The 26,028-nt window shown below is 48.6% G+C and overlaps 4 annotated features.

Moving 5' to 3' along the window:
• Nucleotides 7,640–7,934: a silencer, noted in NCBI's record as "tiled region #8491; K562 Repressive non-DNase unmatched - State 7:EnhWF". NCBI's record gives its function as "represses a minimal TATA promoter and a strong SV40 promoter by Sharpr-MPRA in K562 cells {active_cell/tissue: K562}" and the evidence as "EXISTENCE:reporter gene assay evidence [ECO:0000049][PMID:27701403]".
• Nucleotides 8,085–8,775: an enhancer, noted in NCBI's record as "OCT4-NANOG-H3K27ac-H3K4me1 hESC enhancer chr8:126398994-126399684 (GRCh37/hg19 assembly coordinates)". NCBI's record gives its function as "activates a minimal SCP1, AML or CMV promoter by ChIP-STARR-seq in naive and primed H9 embryonic stem cells {active_cell/tissue: H9 hESC(naive and primed)}" and the evidence as "EXISTENCE:reporter gene assay evidence [ECO:0000049][PMID:30033119]".
• Nucleotides 9,881–10,381: an enhancer, noted in NCBI's record as "H3K27ac hESC enhancer chr8:126400790-126401290 (GRCh37/hg19 assembly coordinates)". NCBI's record gives its function as "activates a minimal SCP1, AML or CMV promoter by ChIP-STARR-seq in primed H9 embryonic stem cells {active_cell/tissue: H9 hESC(primed)}" and the evidence as "EXISTENCE:reporter gene assay evidence [ECO:0000049][PMID:30033119]".
• Nucleotides 10,382–10,882: an enhancer, noted in NCBI's record as "H3K27ac hESC enhancer chr8:126401291-126401791 (GRCh37/hg19 assembly coordinates)". NCBI's record gives its function as "activates a minimal SCP1, AML or CMV promoter by ChIP-STARR-seq in primed H9 embryonic stem cells {active_cell/tissue: H9 hESC(primed)}" and the evidence as "EXISTENCE:reporter gene assay evidence [ECO:0000049][PMID:30033119]".

The following is a 26,028-nucleotide window of genomic DNA, read 5'->3' on the forward strand; positions in this document are numbered from 1 at the left end:
AGATTCCATCTCAAAAAAAAAAAAAAGTCATAATATTTTCATATTACATTACTGTTGTTATGGAGATAAAATTACCGTCATTTCTTATAAAATGCATTACTTAGTTTGTTTCTTGCAATTACAGAATAAGAGAAATTGGATTGATCTTCCCACCTTTAACAGCTAAAAATCTAGATGTCATTGATGAAACAGTGGTTTTCAGACACTAGACAACAGGCAGCACAGGCCAGTGATAGGGAAGGGAAACAAACAAACCAGCTCAGCCCAATGACTGCTCAGTGCCCAGAGAGTGCCCAGGCCACCGTAGAGCCAGGGAAGCCCATGTGGGCCTGCCAGTCTGTCTGCGCTGAGTGGACAGTTGATGAGGGAGGCCAAGCGGCTAGAATTCACAGGGCAGCACTGAAAAGAGAGAGCTGCTCAGCGAGCCCCTGGAGCCTGCAGCTGAGTCATCATCAGCATGCGCCTGTGAGGAAACCACCTGAGGCTGGAAAAGAACCACAGAGGAGGAGAGGTAACAAAAACTGGAGCTCACAGAGACCGAAGAATAGTTCCTTTTCCCACCAGCCAGAGTAGAAAGCCTCATAACTGATGAGGCATTTGGTAGAGTGGAAATCTAGCCCTAGACTAAAGGATGCTCTTGTACTGCTTAACGATGCCTAAAGATACACCTCCAGGCCAGGTGCAGTGGCTCGTGCCTATAATCCCAGCAGTTTGGGAGGCCAAGGCAGGTGGATCACCTGAGGTCAGGAGTTCGAGACCAGCCTGGCCAACATGGCGAAACCCCATCTCTACTAACAATACAAAAATTAGCCTGGTGTGGTGGCGTGTACCTGTAATACCAGCTATTTGGGAGGCTGAGGCAGGAGAATCGCTTGAACCTGGGGGGCGGAGGTTGCAGTGAGACGAGATTACGCCATTGCACTCCAGACTGCGAAGAGCAAAACTCCAGGCAGCAAGAGCGAAACTACATCTCAAAAAAAAAAAAAAAAATACACCTCCAAAGCAGGGGTAGCAAAACCGTGTGTGAAGGACCAGAGAGTGAATATTCTCAGCTTTGCAGGAGGACATACAGTCTCTGTTGCAGCAACTCAACTCTGCCCTTGTAGCATGAAATGCAGACAATATGCAAATGCATAAGTGTGGCTGTGTTCCATAAAGAGTTATTTATAGATTGAATTTCTTAAATTTAATTTTCACCTGCCACAAAATATTATTCTTTTGATATTTGCAACCACTTAAAAATGTAAAACACATTCTTACCTCATGAATCATATAAAAGCAGAGGTGGGCAGGGGGCAGATTTGGCCTGTGGGCTGTAGCTTGCTGACCGTTTTTTCTTTTTTGAGATGGAGTCTCACTCTGTTGCCCAGTCTGGAGTGCAGTGGCGTGATCTCATCTCACTGCAACCTCCGCCTCCCAGGTTCAAGTGACTCTCCTGCCTCGGCCTCCCAAGTAGCTGGGATTACAGGCACTCGCCACCACGCCTAGCTAATTTTTGTGTTTTTAATAAAGACAGTGTTTCACCATGTTGGCCAGGCTGACGTTGAACTGCTGACCTCAGGTGATCCACCCACCTCAGCCTCCCCAAGTGCTGGGATTACAGGCGTGAGCCACCGTGCCCAGCCCACTTGCTGACCTTTGGTCAAAAAGATTGAACCATTTCTCATTAACTGTATACCAGAGCAAGGCTCAAAAATATTTAAAAGAATACAAAATAAACAAATAAATCTAGCACCCAACAATGTCAAATTCACAATGTCTGACATCCAATCAAAAAGTTCCAGCTATGTGCTGGGAGCAGTGACTCATGCCTGTAATCCCAATGCTTTGGGAGGCAAGAGGATTGCTTGAGCCCAGGAGTTTGAGGCTGCAGTGACCTATGATCATTCCACTGCACTCTAGCCTCGGTAACATAGCAAGACCCTGTCTCTAAAAAAGTAATAAACTAATTTAAAAATTTTTTTTAAGTTCCAGCTATGCAAATAAGCAGGAAAATATAATCCATAATAAAAGGAAGATTTGTGTAATATTAATAGACATAGATGACAGAATTAGTAGATGAAAATATTAAAACAGCTATTGAAAATATATGTCTAGGGCCAGGTGCAGTGGCTCACGCCTGTAATCCAGCACTCTGGGAGGCTAAGGCGTATGGATCACGAGGTCAGGGGTTTGAGACCAGCCTGGCCAACATGGTGAAACCCTGTCTCTACTAATAATACAAAAATTAGCTGGGCGTGGACGTGTGTGCCTGTAATCCCAACTATTCGGGAGGCTGAGGCAGGAGAATCACTTAAACCCAGGAGGTGGAGGTTGCAGTGAGCCAAGATCATGCCATTGCACTCCAGCCTGGGCGACAGACAGGGCAAGACTCCATCTCAAAAAAGAAAGAAAGAAAGAGAGAGACAGAGAGAGAGAGAAAGAAAGAAAGGAAGAAAATATATGTCTAAAAGGTAGAGGAAAGCATGAGATGTGATGGAGAAACATGGAAGATATAAAAATGACCCAAATCAAATTTCTAAAAAAAAAAAAAATACATCTGGAATGAAAAACATACTGGGTGGGACTAACAGTAAATTCAACACTGTATTAGAAAAGATTAGTGAGGCTGAAGATGGAGCAAGAGAAACTAACCAAATTGAAGCACAGGGAGAAAAAAGTCACAGGAAATAAAAAACCCACAGAAAGAAAACAGTAAACAACATCAGTGAGCTGTGGGACAACATCAAGCAGCCTAATATACATGTATTTGGAATCCCCAAAGGAAAGAAGATAGAAGAGGACAAAAAAAGAAGAAATAAAATACAGTACTTTCTAAACCTGCTGCTAGATCTTATTTACTATGTTAATTAAAAAGCATATCTATTACTAAATTACAAATTCATTTTTCAAAATGTCTCAATATAATTCATTACCTTTCAATATAATTGGGTTCCTTTGTAATCTTATGCTTTTAAAAGCATTGTTCTGAAAAAGGGTTCGACACCTCACTAGGACCACCCACTGGTCCAGGGCCCAATGAAGGTCAAGAGCCCTGTTGGCACTTGTACTCCCCTCTATGGTGGACCTGGCTCTCTGGCTGCTCCTCATTTATATTCCAGCCTCTGCTATGTTTCCAGGACATTCTGTGATAGAGTCTGCTATAATTCATGTATTTCTGTCACCTAGCACAAAGCCTGGCACCTTGCAGTTGTTTGCTGATCATTTAGTAAATTATGCATTTTTTGAAATGTTCTCTTTGTCCTCAGAAGATTAAATAAGAAGAAATACGTATACATAATGCAGATGAAATTCCTCCCAGACAAGCGGTAGTTGTCAGAGCTCATCAGGCATATTTTGCATGCCCTAGTCCATAAATCCTCCCAACAGCTGTGGGTGCAGATGAAGAAACTGATGCCCAAAGAAGATCAAGTCTTGCCCAAGATCCCTGAGCCAGTGAGTGATGGGCCAGGAGGACTGGAACCAGACCCCACCCCTGCCCCTGCCAAAACAGCCCCACTGAGCCAGGCAGATCAAGTTCTAGGTCAGACCATGGAGCCAGCGTGGGAAGTCCTTAGCAGTTCTGATCCTCTCAGAGGAGTCCCCAGGTTCTTCTAACACATGAGCCTACTCTTTTTTTCTTAAAGTGAATTTATATCATAGTGTCTCAGTCCATTTTCTGCTACTATAACAGAATACCACAGACCAGGTAATTTATAAAGGAAAGAAATGTATTTAGCCCACAGTTCTAGAGGCTGGGAAATCAAAGAGTACAGTGCTGGCATCTGGTGAGGGCCTTCGTGCCCCATGATAAAATCGTGAAGGAGGGCATCACTTGGCGAGAGGGCAAGAGTATTTCAGCTCAAGTCTCTCTTCCTCTTCTTATAAAGCCGCTAGTTCCATCATGGGCACCCCACCCTGATGACCTTATCTGGTCCTAATTACCTCCCAAAGGCCTCACCTTCAAATAACATAAATATATTAATTTGGGAATCAAGTTTCCAACACATGAAATTTGGGGGATACATTCAAACCACAGCACACGGGTACTCTAGGAGGAGCAGTGGGTGGTGGGGAATTGAAGGCACAGTGAGAGGATGTCTCCATTCTTGGCCCTGCCTTAGCTACTCACAGCCTGTCTTCAAAAGATTCTGCAGGCATGTTTCTTGATTCTGTTGATAAGCAGAAAGGGTGGGGTCTTGGGAGGCTGTATTTGTTTTACGCATTACCTCACAAAAAGCCACACTCTTTCAAAAGATCACAAGTTCTTGCAACTAGCGTGTGACTTCCAATATCCAAGACAAATAATGGGAAATTTTTCCCCACTACCCTTCAACAAAAGGAGAGAGAAGATCCTACAGCATTGAAATGATTCTTCTGTTAGACGTAGGAGTAATACTATGAATAAAAAATTCTGGGTAGGTTGGAATACAACAGGCAAAAATATGCAACCTTCAGAAGCAGAGGGTCAAGCTGCAGCGCCCAAGAGTGTGGGTGGTGGTGGTGAGAGATGAATACCAGAAAAGTCTATTTAGACCATCCTTCCCCAACTCACCTACCTTAAAACAAAACCCCTCATGCATCTTATGGAGATTTGTTGCATGAACAAACACCTTCTAAAAAGAAGACACTGCCCAGCTGCTGTGGCTCATGCCTGTAATCCCAGCATTTTGGGAGACTGAGGCAGGTGGATCACAAGGTCAAGAGATCGAGACCATCCTGGCCAACGTGGTGAAACCCTGTCTCTACTAAAAATACAAAAACTAGCTGGGCACAGTGGCACGCGCCTATAATCCCAGCTACTTGGGAGGTTGAGGCAGGAGAATTGCTGGAACTCGAGAGGTTGAGCTTGCAGTGAGCTGAGATCGCGCCACTGCACTCCAGCCTAGGCAACAGAGCAAGACTCCATCTCAAAAATAAATAAATAAATAAAAATAAAATAAAGAAGACACTATCCTTGGAGAAAATTCCTCTCCCTCCACCTATCTGTCTGTCCATCCCACCAGCCATGGGTCAGTCCCATTCCAGTCCTAGTTCTGTGCTAGACACTGAGCTTAAAGATGACCAAGACCCAGATCCCACCCTGAAAGGACGACTTCTCGCTGGTTAAAGACACAAAATAACGAAGCTTATTATCAGAGCAGTGCATGAGTGCATGAGGCACAAGTTGTTGGAAGCAGTTTTGCCCTCCATGGAGCTGCCTTGCACTTCATTTCATATTCTCCCACTGCACTGGGTCCTTTCTACTTTGTGAGTTGTTGTAGGCGTCTCATCTGCCTCCCTTGGCTGTGCTCTCCTCAGGATGGAGTCCACGTCTGAGTCATGTTTCCCCCCTACGCATCAAGGTTTCTCAAAGTGAGGTCCAGGCTCGCCTTTATCAGTCGACCGGAAAAGCTGGTTAAAATGCATATGCCTGGCTGGGGGCGGTGGCTCCCACCTCTAATCCCAGAACTTTGGGAGGCCAAGATGGGTGGATCACCTGAGGTCGGGAGTTCAAGACCAGCCTGGCCAACATGGTGAAACCCTGTCTCCACTAAAAATACAAAAATTGGCCGGGCATGGGGGCAGACATGTGTAATCCCAGCTACTCTGGAGGCTGAGGCAGGAGAATAACTTGAACCCGGGAGGCAGAGGTTGTAGTGGGCTGAGACTGTGTCACTGCACTTCAGCCTGGGTGACAGAGCGAGACTCCGTCTCAAAAAGAAATTTGTTTCAATGCATATGCATAGGCTCACCCTAGACTGACCCTAGACTGACTAGACTGACTGAGTCAGAATCCTGGGAGGAATTATGCATTTTAACAAGCTTCCCAGGTAATTCTGTTACAGGACTTTCTCCTTAGTTCAGCTAAGCGTTGGGTCCTTGTCACACGGCCAAGAAAAATTAGGCTCGCAGACAATTTGATGGGTGAGAATAATAGAATTTATTTGGGAAAAGGGAAAAAAAGAGAAAGAGGAACCCTCTGCAAAGCCAGGGCCCTGCTAATGTGTTTCCCGCCCCACAGATTGAATCCCAGGTTCCACCCAGGAAAAGGAGGGACCAGGCTTCTCCCCACTGTAAACGGCATGAACTGCTGTGACTCCACCCCAGGGCGCGTTTCTCCCAGGGAGCAGGCCGGTTGGAGTTTTTCTGGGGACCCCTTCCCACCTAGCTGTTTCAATTCTAATTCATGCCCCATGTGAGGGTCCTGTACCTGATGCACCTCGCATATAAGGAAAAACCCAAATGAATTAATGTTTGGTTCATAAAGCCAAGCAGAAAAACATATATACACACTATAATTTTAGCTATTTAAAACAGCATATTCTTAAGCAAAAAGCTCAAAAAAGACCATAGTTGTATTTTGTACAAAAATGTAGAGAGTTGTACATCTTTTTCTTTCTTTTCTTTTTAATATTCTGTCTCTATACCCAAGGGCCCATTACATGATACAATCTTGATTATCACAAACCAACACACAAAAAAACCTCTCATTCCACTTTACCCTACCAATCTAGATGTCATATGTGTTGGAAGCTTGGGAATGGGCTAACGTTGTATCAGAGAGAGGTCTCTAACCATCTGCTCAGCTAGAGCGAGGCTCAGTTGATATTTTTGGCATGAATATTGGATTCTCCAAGAAAGCAGCATTTCCCAAACTCCAAATATTCAAACTCCGCTATCAAAGTTTCACCATATCCACCTGTGGCCTGTATTATTATTTGCTGAATTTTTTGGAGTTCAGCCTTCTCCTAAATAATAGAATGCATACAATCATGAGTTTGATGTGCTAAGTATCCTTAAATACATTGAAATCGATATGGAACATTAAACGAAAAGAAACTCGTGTTTTCTTGTTTTGTTTGTTTTGAGATAAAGTTGTTTTGAAACAACTCCGTTGCCCAGGCTGGAGTGCAGTGGCGCCATCTTAGCTCTCTGCAACCTTCCATCTCAGTCGCCCGAGTGGCTGGGACTACAGATGCGCACCACCATGCCAGCTAATTTTTGTATATTTTGTACAGATGGGGTTTCTTTCACCGTGTTACCCAGGCTGGTCTTGAACTCGTGAGCTCAAGAGATCTGCGTGCCTTGGCCTCTCAAAGTGCTGGGATTACAGGCATGAGCCACTGCGCCTGGTCGAAACTGGTGTTCTTAAAGCCCTAACAGCATCCCGGGTGACCCTTTGGGAGGCTGCTGCTGGAGCGGGGCGGGGGGCCCTGGCCGGTGCCCAAAGCCTTCCCACATTCTCCAGTGTTCTCCTAAGAACCTTCCTCCACGCTGCCCAGCATTGAAATGAAGAAGTCCCTGGAGAGCATGGCGACACCAGCACGAAGCTTCGGCTATTAATCATCAAGGCATACCCACCCGCCCACTGGGGTTGGGATTTCAGCATAGACTGTCAGAAGGGACAGGCCCCCAGCGGCTGTGCTTACCAGCAGATCTGAGTTTCACAGGAGAAGTGTGAGCTGGGGCTCAGACTCCCCGAGCGCCTCGGTGCTGCCATCCCAGGTCACACCCACACAGCTCAGCCAGCTGTTCCTATTGCTCCCACGAGTCACCAAGCATGAACTCCCCAACATGTCCCCATCTGTCTCCTTGAAGCAGGTGACATCCCTGTCAGCCCTGGGAGTCTGAAGGAGAAGCCTGCTGTTGTTGGCCTGGGAGACTTCCATTCTACAAATCTATTTTTCCTGTGGGCCTGTTTGCCTTTGACGCCACATATGTCCCGCATCCAACCACGTGTCAGAGGTGGCTGTTTAATGCCAGCCAAAGAAAACAAGCCTTTCCAGCGCTCTGCGCTAAAGGTGAGGTGACAGCTGGCAGATAGTTAGTGACTCACCCCGGTGGACGCCGCCCCACAGACGCGTTTTGAGGGGCTGCTACCAAGGGCACGTATCAAGCCAAAGATGGGAACCCAGGCTTGGCTGTTGGGTGAACAACGAGGGATTGCAACACCTTTTTAGCTAACCCCAGCTCTGCAGTGACAGGCGCTCAGGGAGTGAGGTTTAGGGAAGTCAAACGCCCTCAGTGTTTTTCCCAGAACAGCTGGACATGTCAGAAGACCCGAGTTCCAATTTCACTCTCTTACTTACTAGCTCTGTGACCTGAGGTGACTCACAGTAACTTCTCCGCACCTCAGTGCCTTCACCTGTGAAAAGGAGGTGGCCCCAGCTCTGCAGGGCTCTCGGGGCTGTGTTGAGTGAGCTCTCACCCCAGAGACGCTGGAACATTTGGCAGGATTCCCTCCTCAGCGGGTAGGAATCAAGCACGCAGGGGAGGGGCCTGCCTGGCTGCACCCCTGGTGAGCCTGGGCTGTAGCAGCCTCTGTTCCTGCTTTCAGGCGGTTGCAGCCTATTTGAATGCATGTGAATGCATGAAGATTAAATAACAAAAAGCACCAAGCAGTCTCAGAATGAATTAGCTTGGGGGTAGGTGGAAGTGGGGAGGAACCAGGATGGAGGGTGGTGGGGTAGTTAATTTTTCTAAAATGCCATTCCCGTCTTTGCAATTAATGTAGTCTTTCTCAAGATAATTATAGAGGGTCACATTGTGCCACCAGATCAGTGAGGCAGGCAGTAATCCTTCAGGAGGTAGGACTGGGAAAGTGCTCAGGATACCGTGGTCAGAAAAGACTTCACGGGCCAGGGGAACTTGCTTTGGGTAATGAGAAGGGTACCAGCTCGGACAGGTGAGAAGCAAAGGCCTTCTCTTACGGGAGCTAAGGCCCAGAGGTGGGATCCCAGAGGGACAGGACTGAAAGGAGAGGGGAGGGCAGGCCCAGGAGACCCAGATTCTACTGGGGACTCGAGCACAGAGGGATCCACTGGATGAACACCAGGTCAGTGTGCACTTACTGTCCAGTATTCAAGGCCTATACATAGCGAATTTTAGAAATGTTAGTAGTTGGGGCTGGGCATGGTGGTTTACGCCTGTAATCCCAGCACTTTGGCAGGCCGATCACCTGAGGTCAGGAGTTCAAGACCAGCTTGGCCAACATGGCGAAAACCCCACTCTACTAAAAATACAAAAATTAGCTGGGTGTGGTGGCAGGTGCCTGTAGTCCCAGCTACTCGGGAGGCTGAGGCAGGAGAATCACTTGAACCTGGGAGGCAGTGGTTGCAGTGAGCCGAGATCATATCACTGCACTCCAGCCTGGGTGACAGAGTGAGATTCTGTCTCAGAAAAAAAAAAAAAAAAGGAAATGTAGGCTGGGCGTGGTGGCTCACGCCTGTAATCCCAGCATTTTGAGAGGCTGAGATGGGAGGATCACCTGAGGTCAGGGGTTCGAGACCAGCCTGAGCAACATGGTGAAACCACTTCTCTGGTAAAAATATAAAAATTAGCCGGATGTAGTGGCACCCCACCCCGTAATCCCAGCTACTGCAGAGGCTGAGGCATGAGAATCACTTGAACCCAGGAGGCAGAGGCTGCAGTGAGCCAAGACTGCATCACTGCACTCCAGCCTGGGCAACAGAGTGAGACTCTGTCTCAGAACAAAACAAGTAGATGTTAGTACTTGGTTCATTTAAGAAACAATGGAGGAAAAAAAAAAAAGAGAGACAGACTCTCACGTTTAAAGAGAAAAAAACCAAAAGCCAAACCCTAAGCAAAAAGACCCAGGGAGAGTTAAACCACAGAAAGTGTAGAAAGAAGCTGTGCTGAGGGATTTAATAAAATTTCCGAATCATAAAAGTACACTGGGTGGGGTCTGGGAAGTGAAAGATACAGTCATCAGTATCATCCTTTTCTCCCCCGAAGAAGCCAACAAAGAGCCACTCAGAACTGAGGAACGCTGGCTGATGGGGGAAAAGGTAGCGGAGCAGCCCCGGCGCCTGTGCTGAAATCTGGCTTCTCTCCACTCAGATGAATGAGCTGGGAGGCGCAGCTTCAGGAGCGATTTGCAAGAGATGCACTCGGAGCTCAAGATGGACAGCAGCCTGGCCAACAGCTTCTCATCCTCTCTGGGCAACAGTCTTTCCCAAACGAATAGTGGACAGAACAAGGCTTTGGGGGCTGGAGTCCCAGACTGGAGCTCCGCCCGCTCCCCTCCCCCCACCCCTTCCCCGAGCCCTGAGACCGTGAGACTATGAGAACGTAGGATTCCATCTCAGGCTGTAGGATTCAGAGCAAGTCCCTGACCTCTCTCAGCCTCAGGACCCGTTCGTGAGATGAGAGGACACTCCTGCACCCTCCAGGGCAGCTGCAAGGTGGGAGGATGCAGCGTCCTAGTCAGTGTGCCTCTATCTGTCTATGTAGTTTATTCGTAGAACAAATAAGAAACTTGGACACGCCATGGCTGTGAGAGTGGGCTCCTAGGGAGGAAGCACGCTTTCTCTGTCAGTTCCCCCACCAGCAGCCTCCCATCTGGCTCTCCTGGATTCTTGGCGTTGAGACTCAGTCCGAATTCAGGAAGGATGCGGGAGTTAACAGGCTTCCTGGGCTAGCCTGGGAGCCACCCCACACAGGCCGTGGGAAGGTGCATCCCCATCTCAGGAGTTCCACTCAACAGATTTACCAGCAAACTCACGATCCACGTCTGTGAGTGGGAGGTTTCTGCCAATAACAGCCAATGCCACCACTTTGGCAAATCTGCCCTCTGAATTTGAACGTGTAGTTGCTGGAATTTGGTTTTTAAAATATGTGCTTGTGCGCACGGTGGGGAGGGAGTTAAAAACACATGCCCTTCCTAGATATTGTCTATTCTTGGAAATGCTAAAGCCATTCTCCAGAGGGAACTCAGCAGCAGCAACTACAGATGCCAAATCTAAGGGCTTGAACCCCAGCTCTGCCACTTAGTAGATGTGGATTTGGAGCAACTTTTTTGTGTGTCCCTTGGCCTCAGTTTGCTCACTGTAAAATGGGAGTTATTGTGTGGATAAACAAGATAACGCTTGCAAAGTGTGAAGGCTGAGTCCGGTGCATTGTTAAGTATTAAATAGGAGAGATTGGCCAGGCGCAGTGGCTCACATCTGTAATTCCAGCATCTTGGAGGCTGAGGTGGGTGGATTACTTGATGTCAGGAGTTCAAGACCAGCCTGGCCAACATGGCGAAACCCCGTCTCTACTAAAAATACAAAAATTAGCCAGGGGTGTTGGCGGGTGCCTGTAATCCCAGCTACCTGGAAAGCTGAGGCATGAGTATCGCTTGAACCTGAGAGATGGAGGTTGCAGTGAGTCAAGATCGCACCACTGCCCTCCAGCCTGGATAACGGAGCAAGACTCTGTCTCAAAAAAAAACAAAAACAAAAACAAAACAAAACAAAAAACAAGGAGCGCTTGTTAGCCGTTTTCTATTCCATAAATACTTACTGAGTCCAGCATTTAGGATCCCAGGATATGGTGGTAAAAAAAAGACACACACACACACAAGAAGTGAGAGGAGCTAGACAATGTGAGGCAGGCAAGTAAAATGCTGGGGGGAGAAGGGTGATAAGGGCCATGGAGAGAAACGAGCCAGGCAGGGGGAAAGAGTGGGAGAAGTTGCAATAGGGTAATTAGGAGAACCCACGTGAGAAAAGTGATATTGAGGCAAAGACCTGCAAGAGGTGAGCAACCTAGCCATGCCATACTGGGAAAGCATGTTCCAGAAAGAGAGCCCCCACGCTGCTGCTGCCGCTGCCACCGGACCTCCCCTCCCACTAGGGCTGAGGGAGACAGGGGTGCCGCTCTGGGCAATTCCCAAAGGGGCTGCTCGGCTGATAATTTACTCACTCCCAAGACCTCCAATTCTTCCTGAGGATGCCCCTCGCCTTGGTGGTCTTGGTGGTCGTGGTGGTCTTGGTCAGGCACCAGCTGTTTATTCCCGTCTCAGACCCTGCCCACCCTGCCAGCTCTGCCCCCATCTGCCCCTTGGCTTCCTCATCCCTCTGCCCTTGAGCCACGAAGAATGTTGTGCCTTCCTTGAAGCTCTGAGGCTCTCACCTGCCTGTGGCCTTGGCAGGTGCCATTCTCCTAGCCCGGACTCTTCCTGGCTTTCTCAACTCCGTCCCTTTCCCCCTCAATTCCTCCTTCTCTGCCAGGTCTCAGCTTAGTCACCCTCTCCTCCCCCAGGTCTTTGCTGACTCCCCAGTGCCCACCCTGCTGTCTGCCCTGGACGCTTTATCCACTGCAGCCTCTACCCCCCCCATCATAGCATTTAACACAGGGTTCCACTAGACCCCATGTTACTGAAGGGCGGGGACTGGCACTGTGCCGCCCTATGGGAAGCGTGCCACGAATATTTGCTAAAGGAACAAGTAAAAGTGGGGATATGTCTCCTCCTCCCAACCACTCCCCATCGCAAGCTTACTCCCCCACCCCCACCGACCCCACTCCCCCGGAACCCAGGAGAAGCTTATCCCTTCAGGGTTGTGCACTCTGGGCAGCATTTCCTCTTCTTTCCAGAAGCTTCCTGATAATATAAGTGAAGGAAGAAGCACAATCTTCCTCCCTGGAGGAGTGAGGGTGGGAGGGGGCTTTTTTTCTGGGGGCGCTAATCAGTTATCTGGTCAATGAATCAGCCAAGGAATTCTTTCTCTCTCTCTCTCTTTTTTTTTTTTTTTTTTTTTTTTTTTTTGAGGCAGAGTCTCGCTCTGTCACCCAGGCTGGAGTGCAATGGCATGCTCTTGGCTCATTGCAACCTCCGACTCCCAGGTTCAAGCGATTCTCATGTCTCAGCCTCCCAACTAGCTGGGATTACAGGCACCCGCCACCACGCCTGGCTAATTTTTTTTTTTTTTTTAGTAGAGATGGGGTTTCACTGTGTTGGCCAGGCTGGTCTTGAACTCCTGACCTCAAGTGATCTGCCCACTTCAGCCTCCCAAAGTGTTGGGCTTACAGGCATGAGTCACCGCGTCCAGCCTGCCAAGGAATTCTTCCAACCACCGTGGGTGACATGAAAGAAATCACTAAGTTCTAGAATTACCTTGTCTTTCATTAGTATCAAAGAGGTCCTGAGTACTGGAAATGGAAGCAAAAGCCCAGAAAAAAACTAGAGAGTGAGAAAAGAAACTCTAGATGTTGATATTTTTGCATTGACATCATTTTCACTCTGCTCTTCCGAGGGTGAGCCAATAATGGACTTATTGCCTCCCAAGGGGCTCCTGGAGGTGCGTTCCTGCTGTTCAAAACAGGGACACCAGAGGCCTGATCCCATGGAACAGTGAAGAACAAAGGAAGGGCTTGAACTAATCTCTGTCCTCGTAGTGGATGTGTGGGAACCTGCACCCCAATGCACACTCCCTCCAGGATGAAGGAACTTATTTTTCCAGTGACCAGGAGCGTGGGCTGCCAGCCAGTCCCTCTCCTTTCCCTGGGGCAGCCAGCACCTAATGACTGGTTGATAGGGGGTTACAAAGGGACCAGCACTTCAGGCTGAGGTCCCTGTTGCATCCACGTTGCCCAATTGGCTTCCTGCACACCCCGTGACCTTGTTCCCAAGAGCACCTCCCACACACCCCTACATGCAAATCTTCATCTCAGGAACTGTTTCCAGAGAACCCGACACAAGACAAACCAATATTTCAGAACTGTTAATACAAAAACTAGCCAGGCATGGTGGCACATTCCTGTAATCCCAGCTACTCAGGAGGTTGAGGAAGGAGAATCGGTTGAACCCAGGAGGGGGAGGTTGCAGTGAGCCCAGATCGCACCACTGCACTCCAGACTAGGTGACAGAGTCTCACTCTGTCTCAAAAAAAACAAAACAAACAAACAAACAAAAAACAACAAAAAAAACCAAAAACAAAACAAAACAAAAAAACAACTGCTATGTACACTGTATGTCAGCTCCATCATGGGTCCCACTGAGAGGTGTGGGCTAGCCCCAGAACCTGTACCTGTCATTGTGCACCTAGGGGAATGCATTGAGAGGTCAAATGACTGATTTCCAGTGACCTTTGAGGACAGAGAGATTCGAGGCCATAGCTAGCCCCCAGAGAGCGGTGGGACCTCAGGATTCCCAGGCTGGAAAAGTTCTTTTTTGGCATTTTAATCCAGGGCTTGGCAGCCTTCACAATTCGGAAGTTCTTCCTCACTTCAAAACCGGAATCCCTCCTTCTGTAATGTGTCCCTGTTTCCTCTCGCTTTTCCTCCATGGAGCTGTGTTCTTGCCAAGAAAGAAAGTTAAAAGGGAACAAAGGCATATGGTTTTTCCATTAAGACAGACACCCACATTTTAGGGAAGCCAGAGGAAAGCGTTCAAATAAGGGCAACGGAAATACATTTGCATGACACCAGCCTTTGAAACTGAGTTTTAAAAAGGTAACCACAACAATGAGTGCCCCTCTTTGCCCAGGTTATTACATTTGGGGGATAGTAAGAATGTATTGGAGACCCCCTACTCAGAGGCAGGTTACTGCAGGAGAGCCCTGGGTTTGGAGTCTGACAGCAAGCATTCAAAACTTGTTTCTGCCACTCACTAGCAGCGTGATCATAAGGAAAGGTGTTTGTCCTTCAGAGCCTCAGTTTCCCTTATTGTACAATAGGGGACATCAGCTACACCATGTTCATCTGTGTCACCGGTTTGTTGAGAGAGTTAAATTTAAGGGAAGAAAAAGTAGAGCAAACCATGAAGCACTGTAGAAGTGTTAATAATCAAGATTGAAATCCAGAACAACTGCCTGAGCAACTACTAGGTACAATGTCCTGTCATATATATATATTTTTGAGAAATTGACAAACTAATACTAAAACTCATATTAAAATGCAAAAAGACTTAGAACAAATAACTTCAAAAAAAGAACAAAGTTGGAAGACCAATGCTACCTGATTTGAAGTCTTATAATAAAACTATAGTAGTCAAAACAGTGTGGTATTGGCACAGAGACAGACCAATAGATACATGGAAGAGATGAGCATCCAGAAACAACAGATCTACACATATGAATAACTGCCTTTTTCTTCTTTTTTTTTTTTTTTTGCAGAAGCATAAGGGAAATCGCATGGAAAAAAGATACTCTTTTCAACAAATGGTGCTGAGTTCGAGACCAGCCTGGGCAACATGGCGAAACCCCCATCTCTACAAAAAATACAACAATTAGCCAGGCATGGTGGTGGCGGTGCATGCCTGTAGTCCCAGCTACTCAGGAGGCTGAGGCGGGAGGATCACTTGAGCCTGGAGGTCGATGCTTCAGTGAGCCAAGATGGTGCCACTGCACTCCGGTTTGGGCCACAGAGCTAAACTGTGTCTCAAAAAAGGAAAAAACAAACAAAACAAACGATGCTGGGACAATTGGATATTCATCTTCTAAAAAATGAACTTGAATCCATGCTTTGTGCCATAGAAAAAATTTAACTCAAACAGATCACAGGTCTAACTGTAAAACCTAGAACTACAAAACTTCTAGAATAAAAAAACATAAGAGGAAACCTTTGTGACTTTGGGTTAGACAAAGATTTCTTAGATGTGGCCCTAAAAGAACAGCCCATAAAATAAATGGATAAATTGAACTTCTTGGAAATTTTAAAACTTCTGCTTTTTAGGAAATACTGTTAAGATAATGAAAAAATAAGCCACAGATTGGGAGAAACTATTTGTAAATCATATATCTGAAAAAGGACTTGTAGCCAGAAAATAGAAATAACTCTTTTTATTTATTTATTTTTTGAGATGGAGTTTTGCTCTTGTTGCCCAGACTGGAGTGCAATGGTGCAATCTCAGCTCACTGCAACCTCCGCCTCGTGGGTTCAAGCGATTCTCCTGCCTCGGCCTCCCATGTACCTGGATTACAGGCACCCGTCATCATGCCTGGCTACTTTTTAAAATATTTTTAGTAGACATGGGGTTTTTGCCATGTTGGCCAGACTGGTTTCAAACTCCTGATCTCAAGTGGTCCGCCCGCCTCAGCCTCCCAAAATGCTGGGATTACATGCGTGAGCCACTGTGCCCGGCCAGAAATAACTCTTAAAATTCAATAATAAGAAAACAAACAACCTCATTACTTCTTTAAAATGGGCAAGATAGGCCAGGCAGTGGCTCACGCCTGTAATCCCAGCACCTTGGGAAGCCAAAATGGGCGGGTCACTTGAGGTTAGGAGTTTGAGACCAGCCTGGTCAACATGGTGAAACACCATCTCTACTAAAAATACAAAACTTAGCTGGGACTGGTGGCGCACCCCTGTAGTCCCAGCTACTCAGGAGGCTAAGGCAGGAGAATCGCTTGAACCCAGGAGGCGGAGGTTGCAGTGAGCTGAGATCGCACCACTGCACTCCAACCTGCGCAACAGAGCAAGACTCCATCTCTAAATAAATAAATAAACAAAAATGGGCAAGAGATTTGAACAGATACATCACCAAAAAACATACACAGAAGTCAAATAAATATATTCAAAGATGCTCAGGGTCGTCAATCATTGGAGAGATGCAAGTTGAATCCACAGTGAGACACCACAACACATCTCTTAGATTGGCTGAAATTAAAAAGACTGACTATACCAAGTGTTGTCAGGGAACACGTGAACATAGAACGTGGTACAACTACTTTGGAAAACAGTTTGGCAGTTTCTTTAAAAGTTAAATGTATGCCTACTACAATTTGGGTCTTCTTCTAGGAATTTACCCAAGGGAATGAAAATGTATGCCCACACCAAGACTTGCTCATAAATATTCATAGCAGCTTTATTTGTAATAACCCAAGGCTAGAAACACACAAATGACCATCAGCAGGTGAATGGAGAAGCAGCTGTAGCGGCCAAGGCTGAAGCCCTCTGAAGTGTGCACTAGGCTGGAGGCTTGGGAGCCTCTGGGCAGGGATGTTGCTGCTGGGCTGACTCTAACCTAGAGCTGGCCAATCCCATTCACCTGGTCCCTCTAAGGCTGCCTGAGGCCCTGGCAGCAGGTAGGGAGTCTGAAGCCTGGGTTTTGAGCACTGACCTTGCCACTGCTTGCCGTAAGACTTGCAGCCGAACAGAAATACGAGGCCGCCTTCAATATCACTTACTCTGGAATTCCCCTTCACCTCCTATGCTCCCATCAGAACCTTCCCATGCTGGGCTGTTTCTGCTCCATGAGGACAGTGACCTGCTCGTTCACTTGGCACACAATAGGTGTTCAATAAGTGTTTACCTACTGATTGAAGCACCTACTATGTGTTAGGCATTTGGCATATAACAGCTCATTTAATTTCTTTTTTCTTTCTTTTTCTTTGCAACACTCAAGCTGAAGTACAGTGGTTTGACCACGGCTCACTGTAGCCTCCTGGGCTCAAGTGATCCTCCCACCTCAGCCTCCCCAGTAGCTAGGACCACAGATGCACATCACCATGCACAGCTAATTTTTGTATTTTTTGTAGATGGGGTTTCACCATGTTGCCTAAATTGGTCTTAAACTCCTGGGCTCAGGTGATCCTCCCGCCTTGGCCTCCCAAAGTGCTAGGATTACAGGCATAAGCCACCACACCTGGCCCAGTTCATTTAATTTTTTAAACAACCTTGCACTGTGGGTTTAATCATGCCCATTTTAGAGATGAGGAAACTGAAGCTGAGTGAGATGACTTAAGTTGTCCAGAGACACACAGCTTTTAAGAAGTGGTGCTGACATTTGTTTTGTTTTGCTTTGTTTTGTTTTGTTTTTGAGACGGAGTCTCTCTCTGTCGCCCAGGCTGGAGTGCAGTGGTGCAATCTTGGCTCACTGCAACCTCCATCTCCCAGGTTCAAGCAATTCTCCTGCCTCAGCCTCCCAAGCAGCTAGGATTATAGGCGCCTGCCACCATGCCCGGCTAATTTTTGTATTTTTAGTAGAGACGGGGTTTCACCGTGTTGGCCAGGCTGGTCTCGAACTCCTGAACTCAAGTGATCTGCCTGCCTCAGCCTCCCAAATTGCTGGGATTACAGGTGTGAGCCATCACGCCCAGCTGATGCTGGCATTTGAACCTGGCTTCTTAGTGAGATTCTGAAGACCCTGAGCCTATTGCCACATTGGGTTCTCTGAGCCTGTAATGTGAGGACAACCTTCCCTTTCCCTCTCAGGGCCCCATAGAGCAGAGCCGAGAGAGTGCCGGCAAGCTCTCACTTTGCCCCCAGCGCTGCTCCTGTGATCCTGGAGATGAAAGCTTGTGGCCCCAAATGGGGTGAGCTCACCTCGTGGGGTGGGGTGCAGGGTTGGTGGTTGGCTGGTGGCCTCACGTTTCCCCAGTTGGTTCATGCTTGGGATGTGCCACCTGTGAGCCCGGTTGGGTCTCTTGTAGGTTCCCACGGAGATCAGCCTCTTCTGGTAGGTATTGGATGCTGCCTTTCCTCACTGACCGGGCGACGACTCCACTTACCCCTCCAGAGGCCTTAGTTGTCAACCCGACAGAATTACTCAGGGGAAGTCAGAGCTCATAATTATTTGACTAATCCTCATGTGGCAACACATCGGAGGTTGTTTTTTTAGCACGAGGCAGGGCCCGAGTGAGAGTGTTTCCCACTGCAGGCTTGCCTGTCTGGGTCTGCAGGCTAGGAACAGGGCGCCTCCTTCCTGGGAGCAGGGAGATGTGGAAATGTGGGTGGGAAGCTGCAGGGCTGGGTCTCCGAGACCCTGGAAACCTGCATCTCTCCATACATCAGCTTCCTAGGGCTGCTATTCAATGACTTGATGGTTTAAAACGAGGAATATATTCTCTCACAGTTCTGGAGGCCAGATGTCCGCGATCAGGTGCCAGCATGGTCTTACCCTCTGTAAAGGGCTCTAGAAGTAATTCCTCCTGGCTCTTCCAGCTTCTAGTGGCTCCAGGTGCTCCTTGGTTTGCGGCTGCTTCACTCCAGTCTCTACCTCCATCTTCACGTGGACTTCTCCTCTGTGCCTCTCATAAGGACACTCATCATTGGATTTAGGAGCTATCGGGATAGTCCAGGATGATCTCATCTAGAGATCCATAACTTAATCACATCCACAAAGATCCTTTGTCCATATAAGGTCACAGCCACAGGTTATCAGTAAACAAATCTTTCTTTCTGGGGGTGCCATTCAACCCACTACACCCTGGAAGGTGCCCTGCCCAAGCCAATTAATGGCCCAGACATTTTCCTCCTTGCTAGGTGCTTCTCTCATTGTCCTATCTTTTTTTCTTTTTTTTTTTTTTTTGAGATGGACTCTTGCTCTGTGGCCCAGGCTGGAGTGCAGTAGTGTAGTGGTGTGCTCTCGGCTCAGGGCAACCTCTGCCTCCCAGGTTCAAGCGATTTTACTGCCTCAGCCTCCTGAGTAGCTGGGATCACAAGCATGTGTGCCACCACGCCTGGCTGATTTTTCTATTTTTAGTAGAGACGGGGTTTCATCATGTTGGCCAGGCTGGTCTTGAACTCCTGACCTCAAGGGATCCACCCACCTAGGCCTCCCAAAGTGCTGGGATTAGATGCGTGAGCCACCTTGCCCCGCTCTTTTTTCATCTTCATCCCCACCTTCACTGCCCTATACAGGCACTTTCTTCTCTTGCTAGGACTGGTGCAGTAGTCTTCTAAGCTGCCCCAGTCATTCTGCCCCCTTTTCTCCTCTCCATTTCCTCTACTGCTCCAGAGTGATTTTTCTAACCCTCAAATCGCCTGGTACCCTTCCTTCTTCAGACACTTCCAAGGGCAAGTCCAGTCTCCTTGGTGTGGTGTCCAAGGCCCTGGCTGGCTGCTCAGCTTCTTGTCCAGGTTTCTGCCCACGTCTTCCACTCTGACCGGCCGACACTGTAAGGCCTTTAACAGACCGCTCCTCTCAGTCCAGGGGGACTGGTTTTTGTCTGATGCAGAATGTATATGCAGGGAAGGGGGCTCCTCTCATGGCTGGGAGACTCTCAGTGTGGGTTTAGGGCCATGGTTGGACTCTGGGCTCTGGGCAGTGGTAGACACTTTTCCAGCAAGCAGAAGAGATGAGTTCTAATCCAGATTCCCAGACCTGTTCCTGTTCTCCAGCACCTATGCCAAACCACTGAGGGGGAAGAAGGGATCACCGTTGTCCTTTCCTCTCTCTGATTCTAATTTGGGGGACATCGTGCAGGAATGGATGCTGGGGTGTTTAAGGACTCTTAGGATGCAGTGAGCTCATCACTCATGGTAGCTGTCCACATCCTTGATCTAGGCCCCAGGCTGCCCTTTCTTTTTTTTGTTTTTTGTTTGTTTGTTTGTTTGTTTTTTCTCTGAGACAGAGTCTTGCTGTGTCCCCCAGGCTGGAGTGCAGTGGCCTGATCTCAGCTCACTGCAACCCCCACCTCCCAACTTCAAGCCATTCTCCTGCCTCAGCCTTCTGAATAGCTGGGATTACAGGCACGCACTGCCACACCTGGCAATTTTTTTTTTTTTTTTTTTTAGTAGAGACGAGGTTTCTCCATGTTGGCCAGGCTGGTCTTGAACTCCTGGCCTCAAGTGATCCACCCACCTCCACCTCCACCTCCCAAAGTGCTGGGATTACAGGTGTGAGCCACCGTGCAGGGACCCAGTTTGCCCTTTCTCTGCCTATGCAGCCAAGCCGGCTCCCTCCCACCTGGCTGGACTGGCCCCGTGCTTGTCTATGGTGTTGCTGAGCAGAGCCAAAGTTCTACAAAACCCCAAGCCAGGGCTTACCCCCTGCAGCTTCCTTACATACTTTCCCCCAAGGTTTTTATTAATTTTTATTTTAATTAATTAATTTATTCATTGATTTTGAGACAGAGTCTTACTCTTTTTGCCCAGGCTGGAGCACAGTGGCACCATCATAGCTCATTGCAGTCTCAAATTCCTGGGCTCAAGTGATTCTCCTGCCTCAGAGTAGCTGGGAATATAGGTATGTGCGACCCCATACCCAGCTAATTTTCTTGATTTTTAGTAGACACGGGGTCTCACTATGTTGCCCAGGCTGTTCTTGAACTCCTGAGCTCAAGCGATCCTCCTGCCTCAGCCTACCAAAGTTCTGGGATTACAGGCGTGAGCCACCATGCCCGGCTCCCCCAAGGTTTTAACCAAGGTGCGGAACGGGTTCATGGTTGGGCTGTGGCAGCCAGAATGAAGAGGCCGTGTGACCCTGGGCAGGTCCCCTTTCTTCTGACCTTCATTGATAGGCTCCACTTCCCAGGAGCATCCAGGAAGATACCCAAATGGGGATGTGTCACCTGTGTGTCCATGTCGGTCTACTGGTTTCTCTGTTTCCATCTCAGGCTGCAGGCTTCGTGTGGATGAGGATGGCACCTTTCCTGTTCACTGACAGATACTCAGTGCCTAGCACAGTGCCTGGGACACAGGAGGTGCTCGAGAAATATTTGTGATTAAAAAAAAAAAGAATGAATGAGTATGGAAAAGAGGATCAAAAGGAAGAATGCAAATAGTTCCACATCCCACTCCCTCCACCACAGCAGCCACCCAGCTCTCCACCAACCTCTCTGGCTGCTCCTTCTCCGCCCACCATGAAGGTCAGTGTTCCTCGCCTTCTTCCTGCATTCGCCGGCTGTTCATTGAGTGCTCACCACGTGCTGAGTGCTGTGCATGGCGCTGTGTGTCTTCAATTTCAGTAGATGCTGCCAGATGGTTTTCCAAAGTGGCTGTTCCTGTGTCTCCTCCCACTAGCAATGGATGAGTGTCCCTGAGGTTCCACATCCTCATTAGTGCTTGATGGTGGGGACCTGCCCTTTCAACTCTTCTTAAAAAATTCTGGCTGGGCGCAGTGGCTTACCCCTGTAATCCCAGCACTTTGGGAGGCCTAGACGGGTGGATTACTGGAGGTCAGGAGTTCAAGACCTGCCTGGTCAACACGGTGAAACCCTGTCTCTACTAAAAATACATTAGCCGGGCATGGTGGCAGGCACCTGTAATCCCAGCTACCCGGGAGGCTGAGGCAGGAGAATTGCTTGAACCCAGGAGGCAGAAGTTGCAGTGAGTTGAGATTGCACCATTGCACTCTAGCCTGGGCAAAAAGAACGAAACTCCGTCTCAAAAAAAAAAAAAAAAATTCTAGGCCAGGCACAGTTGCTCATACCTGTAATCCCAGCACTTGGAAGGCCAAGGCAGGAGGATTGCTTAAGCCCAGGTGTTCGAGACCAGCCTGGGTAACATAGTAAACACTGTCTCTACAAAAGTTTTTAAAACAAATTATAAAAGGTAGCTTCAAAAAGTCACCCTGGACCATAAAAAAGAATGAGTTCACCGGGCGCGGTGGCTCACGCCTGTAATCCCAGCACTTTTCGAGGCCAAGGCGGGCAGATCACGAGATCAGGAGATCAAGACCATCCTGGCTAACATGGTGAGACCCCGTCTCTACTAAAAATACAAAAAATTAGCTGGGTGTGGTGGCACACGCCTGTAGTCCCAGCTACTCAGAAGGGCGAGACAGGAGAATTGCTTGAACCTGGGAGGTGGAGGTTGCAGTGAGCCAGGATAGTGCCACTGTACTCCAGCCTGGGTGACAGAGCAAGACTTTGTCAAAACAAAAACCAAAAACCAAAAAACAACAACAACAAAAAACAAAACAAAACAAAACCAAAAAACAAACAAATAAAAAACCAAAAAAAGAATGAGTTCATGTCCTTTGCAGAGACATGGATGAAGCTGGAAGCCATCATTCTCAGCATACTAACATAGGAACAGAAAACCAAACACTGCATGTTCTCACTCATAAGTGAGAGTTGAACAATGAGAACACATGGACACAGGGAGGGGAACATCACACACCGGGGTCTGCTGGGGGTTTGGGAGCAAGAGCGGGGAGAGCATTAGGACAAATACCTAATGCATGCAGGGCTTAAAACTTATATGATGGGTTGATGGGTGCAGCAAACCACCATGGCACATGTATACCTATGTAACAAACCTGCACATTCTGCACATGTATCCCAGAACTTAAAGTAAAATAAAAATAAATAAATAAAATAAACAAATAATTAAGCAAATAATATAAAAAAGCCACCCTGGAATCACAGGGCCAGTCATGCCAATCTCCCTGCCTGCTCCCCAGGGCCTCTGGAACAAAGTCTGTACATCTTATTCTGGTACTCAAGCCCCTCCAAGTGTGGCCTTTTCTGCCCACCTCCCCTTTCCCTCCTGCTCCCCTCCCCTTCACCAAACTACCCAGCATTCTGGAACCCAAGCAGCCTCTTTTGCCTGCAACACCGTTCCCCGTCTCTTTGCCTGGCATCCAGCATGCAGTTCAGCTGCCACCTTCTGCAGGAAGCTTTCCCTGATCTCAACTGGGTTTATGAGGTAGCCCTGCCCTGTGCCCCCAGAATCCCCTGCTTCTGTCTTTCCACACTCTGCAAGTGCCTGTCAAAGCATCTTTCCCCACAAACACCCAGGAGCCTGACTGTGTCTAGTTGGCCTCTGTACCCCAGCATCTGGCTTGTGGACAGCAGCATTCAATAACCGGCTGGATGGAGCCAAACCCCTCTCCTCTACCTGGGAATCTAACTTTATGTAAGGCCCTAAGGCCCGTGTGGCAGGAAACAGGCTCTCACCACAGCCAGAGGTACACCGGGCCTCAGCGTGGAGGCCTGACCTGGAAGACAGTGATTTTCAGGGTGCTGGAACCTTCTCCTATTTTTGGCAGCGAGTCACTCACTCCACTGAAATGGCTTTGGGCGCATGTAGAAAATTTGACAGGTATGCAGGCTCCAGGCTCCTCCAGTCCTCCATGTCCCCCTCCACCTTGCATCTCACCTGACACAGGCCTGGCTCTGAGGGCGGGGTTGGACCTCACAGGCCCCAGTGGGCAATCCGGATAAAAAGAATTGCTTATTGGGCCGGGCATGGTGGCTCATGCCTGTAATCCCAGCACTTTGGGAGGCCGAGACGGGCAGATCACAAGGTCAGGAGTTCGAGACTAGCCTGACCAACATGGTGAAACCCCGTCTCTACTAAAAATACAAAAATTAGCCGGGCGTGGTGGCGTGCGCCTGTAATCCCAGCTACTCAGGAGGCGGAGGTGGGAGAATCGCTTGAACCCAGGAGGCAGAGGTTGTGGTGAGTTGAGATCATGCCATTGCACTCCAGCCTGGACAACAAGAGCGAAACTCCATTTCAAAAAAAAAAAAAAAAAAGAATCGCTTATTTTTCATGATCTCATGGAAAAATGGCCATGATGTTTAGAATATCTGTTGTGCCTTGGTCCCAGGTAATGACCCCTGTGTTTCAGTCCCAGAAGCCACATGGGGATGGCCTGGAACAGTGAGGGCAGGAACTTTGGGATGACCCTGCTGTGGGTCAGCTTGGCCTGATGACTCTGGGGCTTTGTGCAGATTAAAAATTAACAAGAGGGACCTGATGAGGTGGCTCACACCTGTAATCCCAGCACTTTGGGAGGTCACAGTGGGCAGATCACTTGAGGTCAGGAGTTCCAGACCAGCCTGGCCAACATGGTGAAACCCCGTCTCTACTAAAAATACAAAGAAATTAGCTGGGCGTGGTGGCGCGTGCCTGTAATTTCAGCTACTCGGGAGGCTGAGGCAGGAGAATTGCTTGAACTTGGGCGCTTGAGGTTGCAGTGAGCTGAGATCATGCCACTGCACTCCAGCCTGGGTGACAGAGCAAGAATCTGTCTCAAAAAAAAAAAAAAATTAACAAGAGGAGTCTCTCCCCTGACCAGCTCCAGGCCCAGGGCCTGCCTTTGAGTGATGCGCTGAGGATTCACTAAGGAAAGAGATGGGCCCTACCTGAATGCAGACATTGGTCTGCAGGAGGTGGTAGTGGGAAGACTGAGATCCGGGCCAGTGAGGAGTGAGGAGCAGCATCTAGGCGGGGGGCGGCAGTGGGGTGGGGAGCGCAGTTACTGAACACCTGTTTGGGGCCAGGCACAATGCTGGTGCTCTGGGGCCGCTGTCTCCTTCCCACCCCTAGAGCACAGCCTTTATCTAAGCCCGGATAGAGGCTGGGCTCCAGGGGATGGAAGGAGACAGTGGCCCTGGAGCACCAGCCTTTAGATAAAGCCTTTGCATAAAGCTCAGACCTCTCTCTCACCTTACAGAAGAGCCAAGTGAGGCTCCTCAAATCAAGGATCTCACTCTAGATTCGGAGCTGCTGTGAGGCAGAGCCAGGAAGCTGCCCCTAAGGGGCCGCTCAGGGCTGGGCTCTTCTGGAGATGGACTCTGGCCTGCCCTTCTCTGCCTCCTCCTTCCCACCCGAGGAGCCTGCATCCAGCTGTGGCTGAACACTCCAGGGAAGGAAAGACAGCAGATGACGGGCAGGGCGCGGTGGCTCACGCCTGTAATCCCAGCACTTTGGGAGGCCGAGGCAGGTGGATCACCTGACTCAGGAGTTCGAGACCAGCCTGACCAACATGGAGAAACTCCGTCTCTACTAAGAAATACAAAAAAATTAGCCGGGCATGGTGGCGCATGCCTGTAACCCCAGCTACTCGGGAGGCTGAGGCAGGAGAATCGCTGGAACCCGAGAGGCAGAGGTTGCAGTGAGCTGAGATCATGCCATTGCAGAAAGTCTGACGGCACTTGTATCGTGCGTGGGGAGTGTCAGGCACTAAGCAACTGGGCAACAAGAGTGAAACTCTGTCTCAAAAAAAAAAAAAAAAAAAGCAGACGGGTGGGGGGTGAGACCATCTGCTGCTGTAAGCCTGGAGGCAGTGCTTCCTGTCTCTCTCTCTCCCTCTTTCCTTCCTTCCTTTTTTCCTTCCTCCCTCCCTCCTTCCCTTCCTCCCTCCCTCCCTCCCTTCCTTCCTGCCTGTCTCCCTGCCTACCTTCCAGTCTTCCTGCCTTCCTCCCTCCCTTCCTTCCTTCCTTCCTTCCTTCTTATCAACAAAGGATGATGGAGGATGCACTGGTAAATGAAACAGACATGGCCGCTAGTCTGACGGCACTTGTATCGTGTGTGGGGAGTGTCAGGCACTAAGCAAATAATTGCACAAAGAATTTTCTTATGACGGTCAGTGATGCAAAGGCGATCACTGGGAGCAGGAGTAACAGAGTGGTCCAGGTAGTTTAGTGTAGGGGCTCAGGGAAGCGGGACTGTAGCTGAAACCTGAAGGGGAAGTAGGAGTTGGTGGGGAGAAGCAGAGGGGTGGGTGGTGAGGAAGAGGCCCCTGGAAGAGGACTCTGCGTGTGCAAAGGTCCTGTGGCAGAAAGTGCCCAGCACTATTACATAGAGAAGAAGGCATGGCTGGAGCATGATGGTGAGATGAGGTTAGAGTAAGCAAGGTCAGGCGCAGCAGCCTAGAGGGGT

The sequence above is a fragment of the Homo sapiens genome, chromosome 8, assembly GCF_000001405.40.
Source record: "Homo sapiens chromosome 8, GRCh38.p14 Primary Assembly".
NCBI lineage: Eukaryota > Metazoa > Chordata > Mammalia > Primates > Hominidae > Homo > Homo sapiens.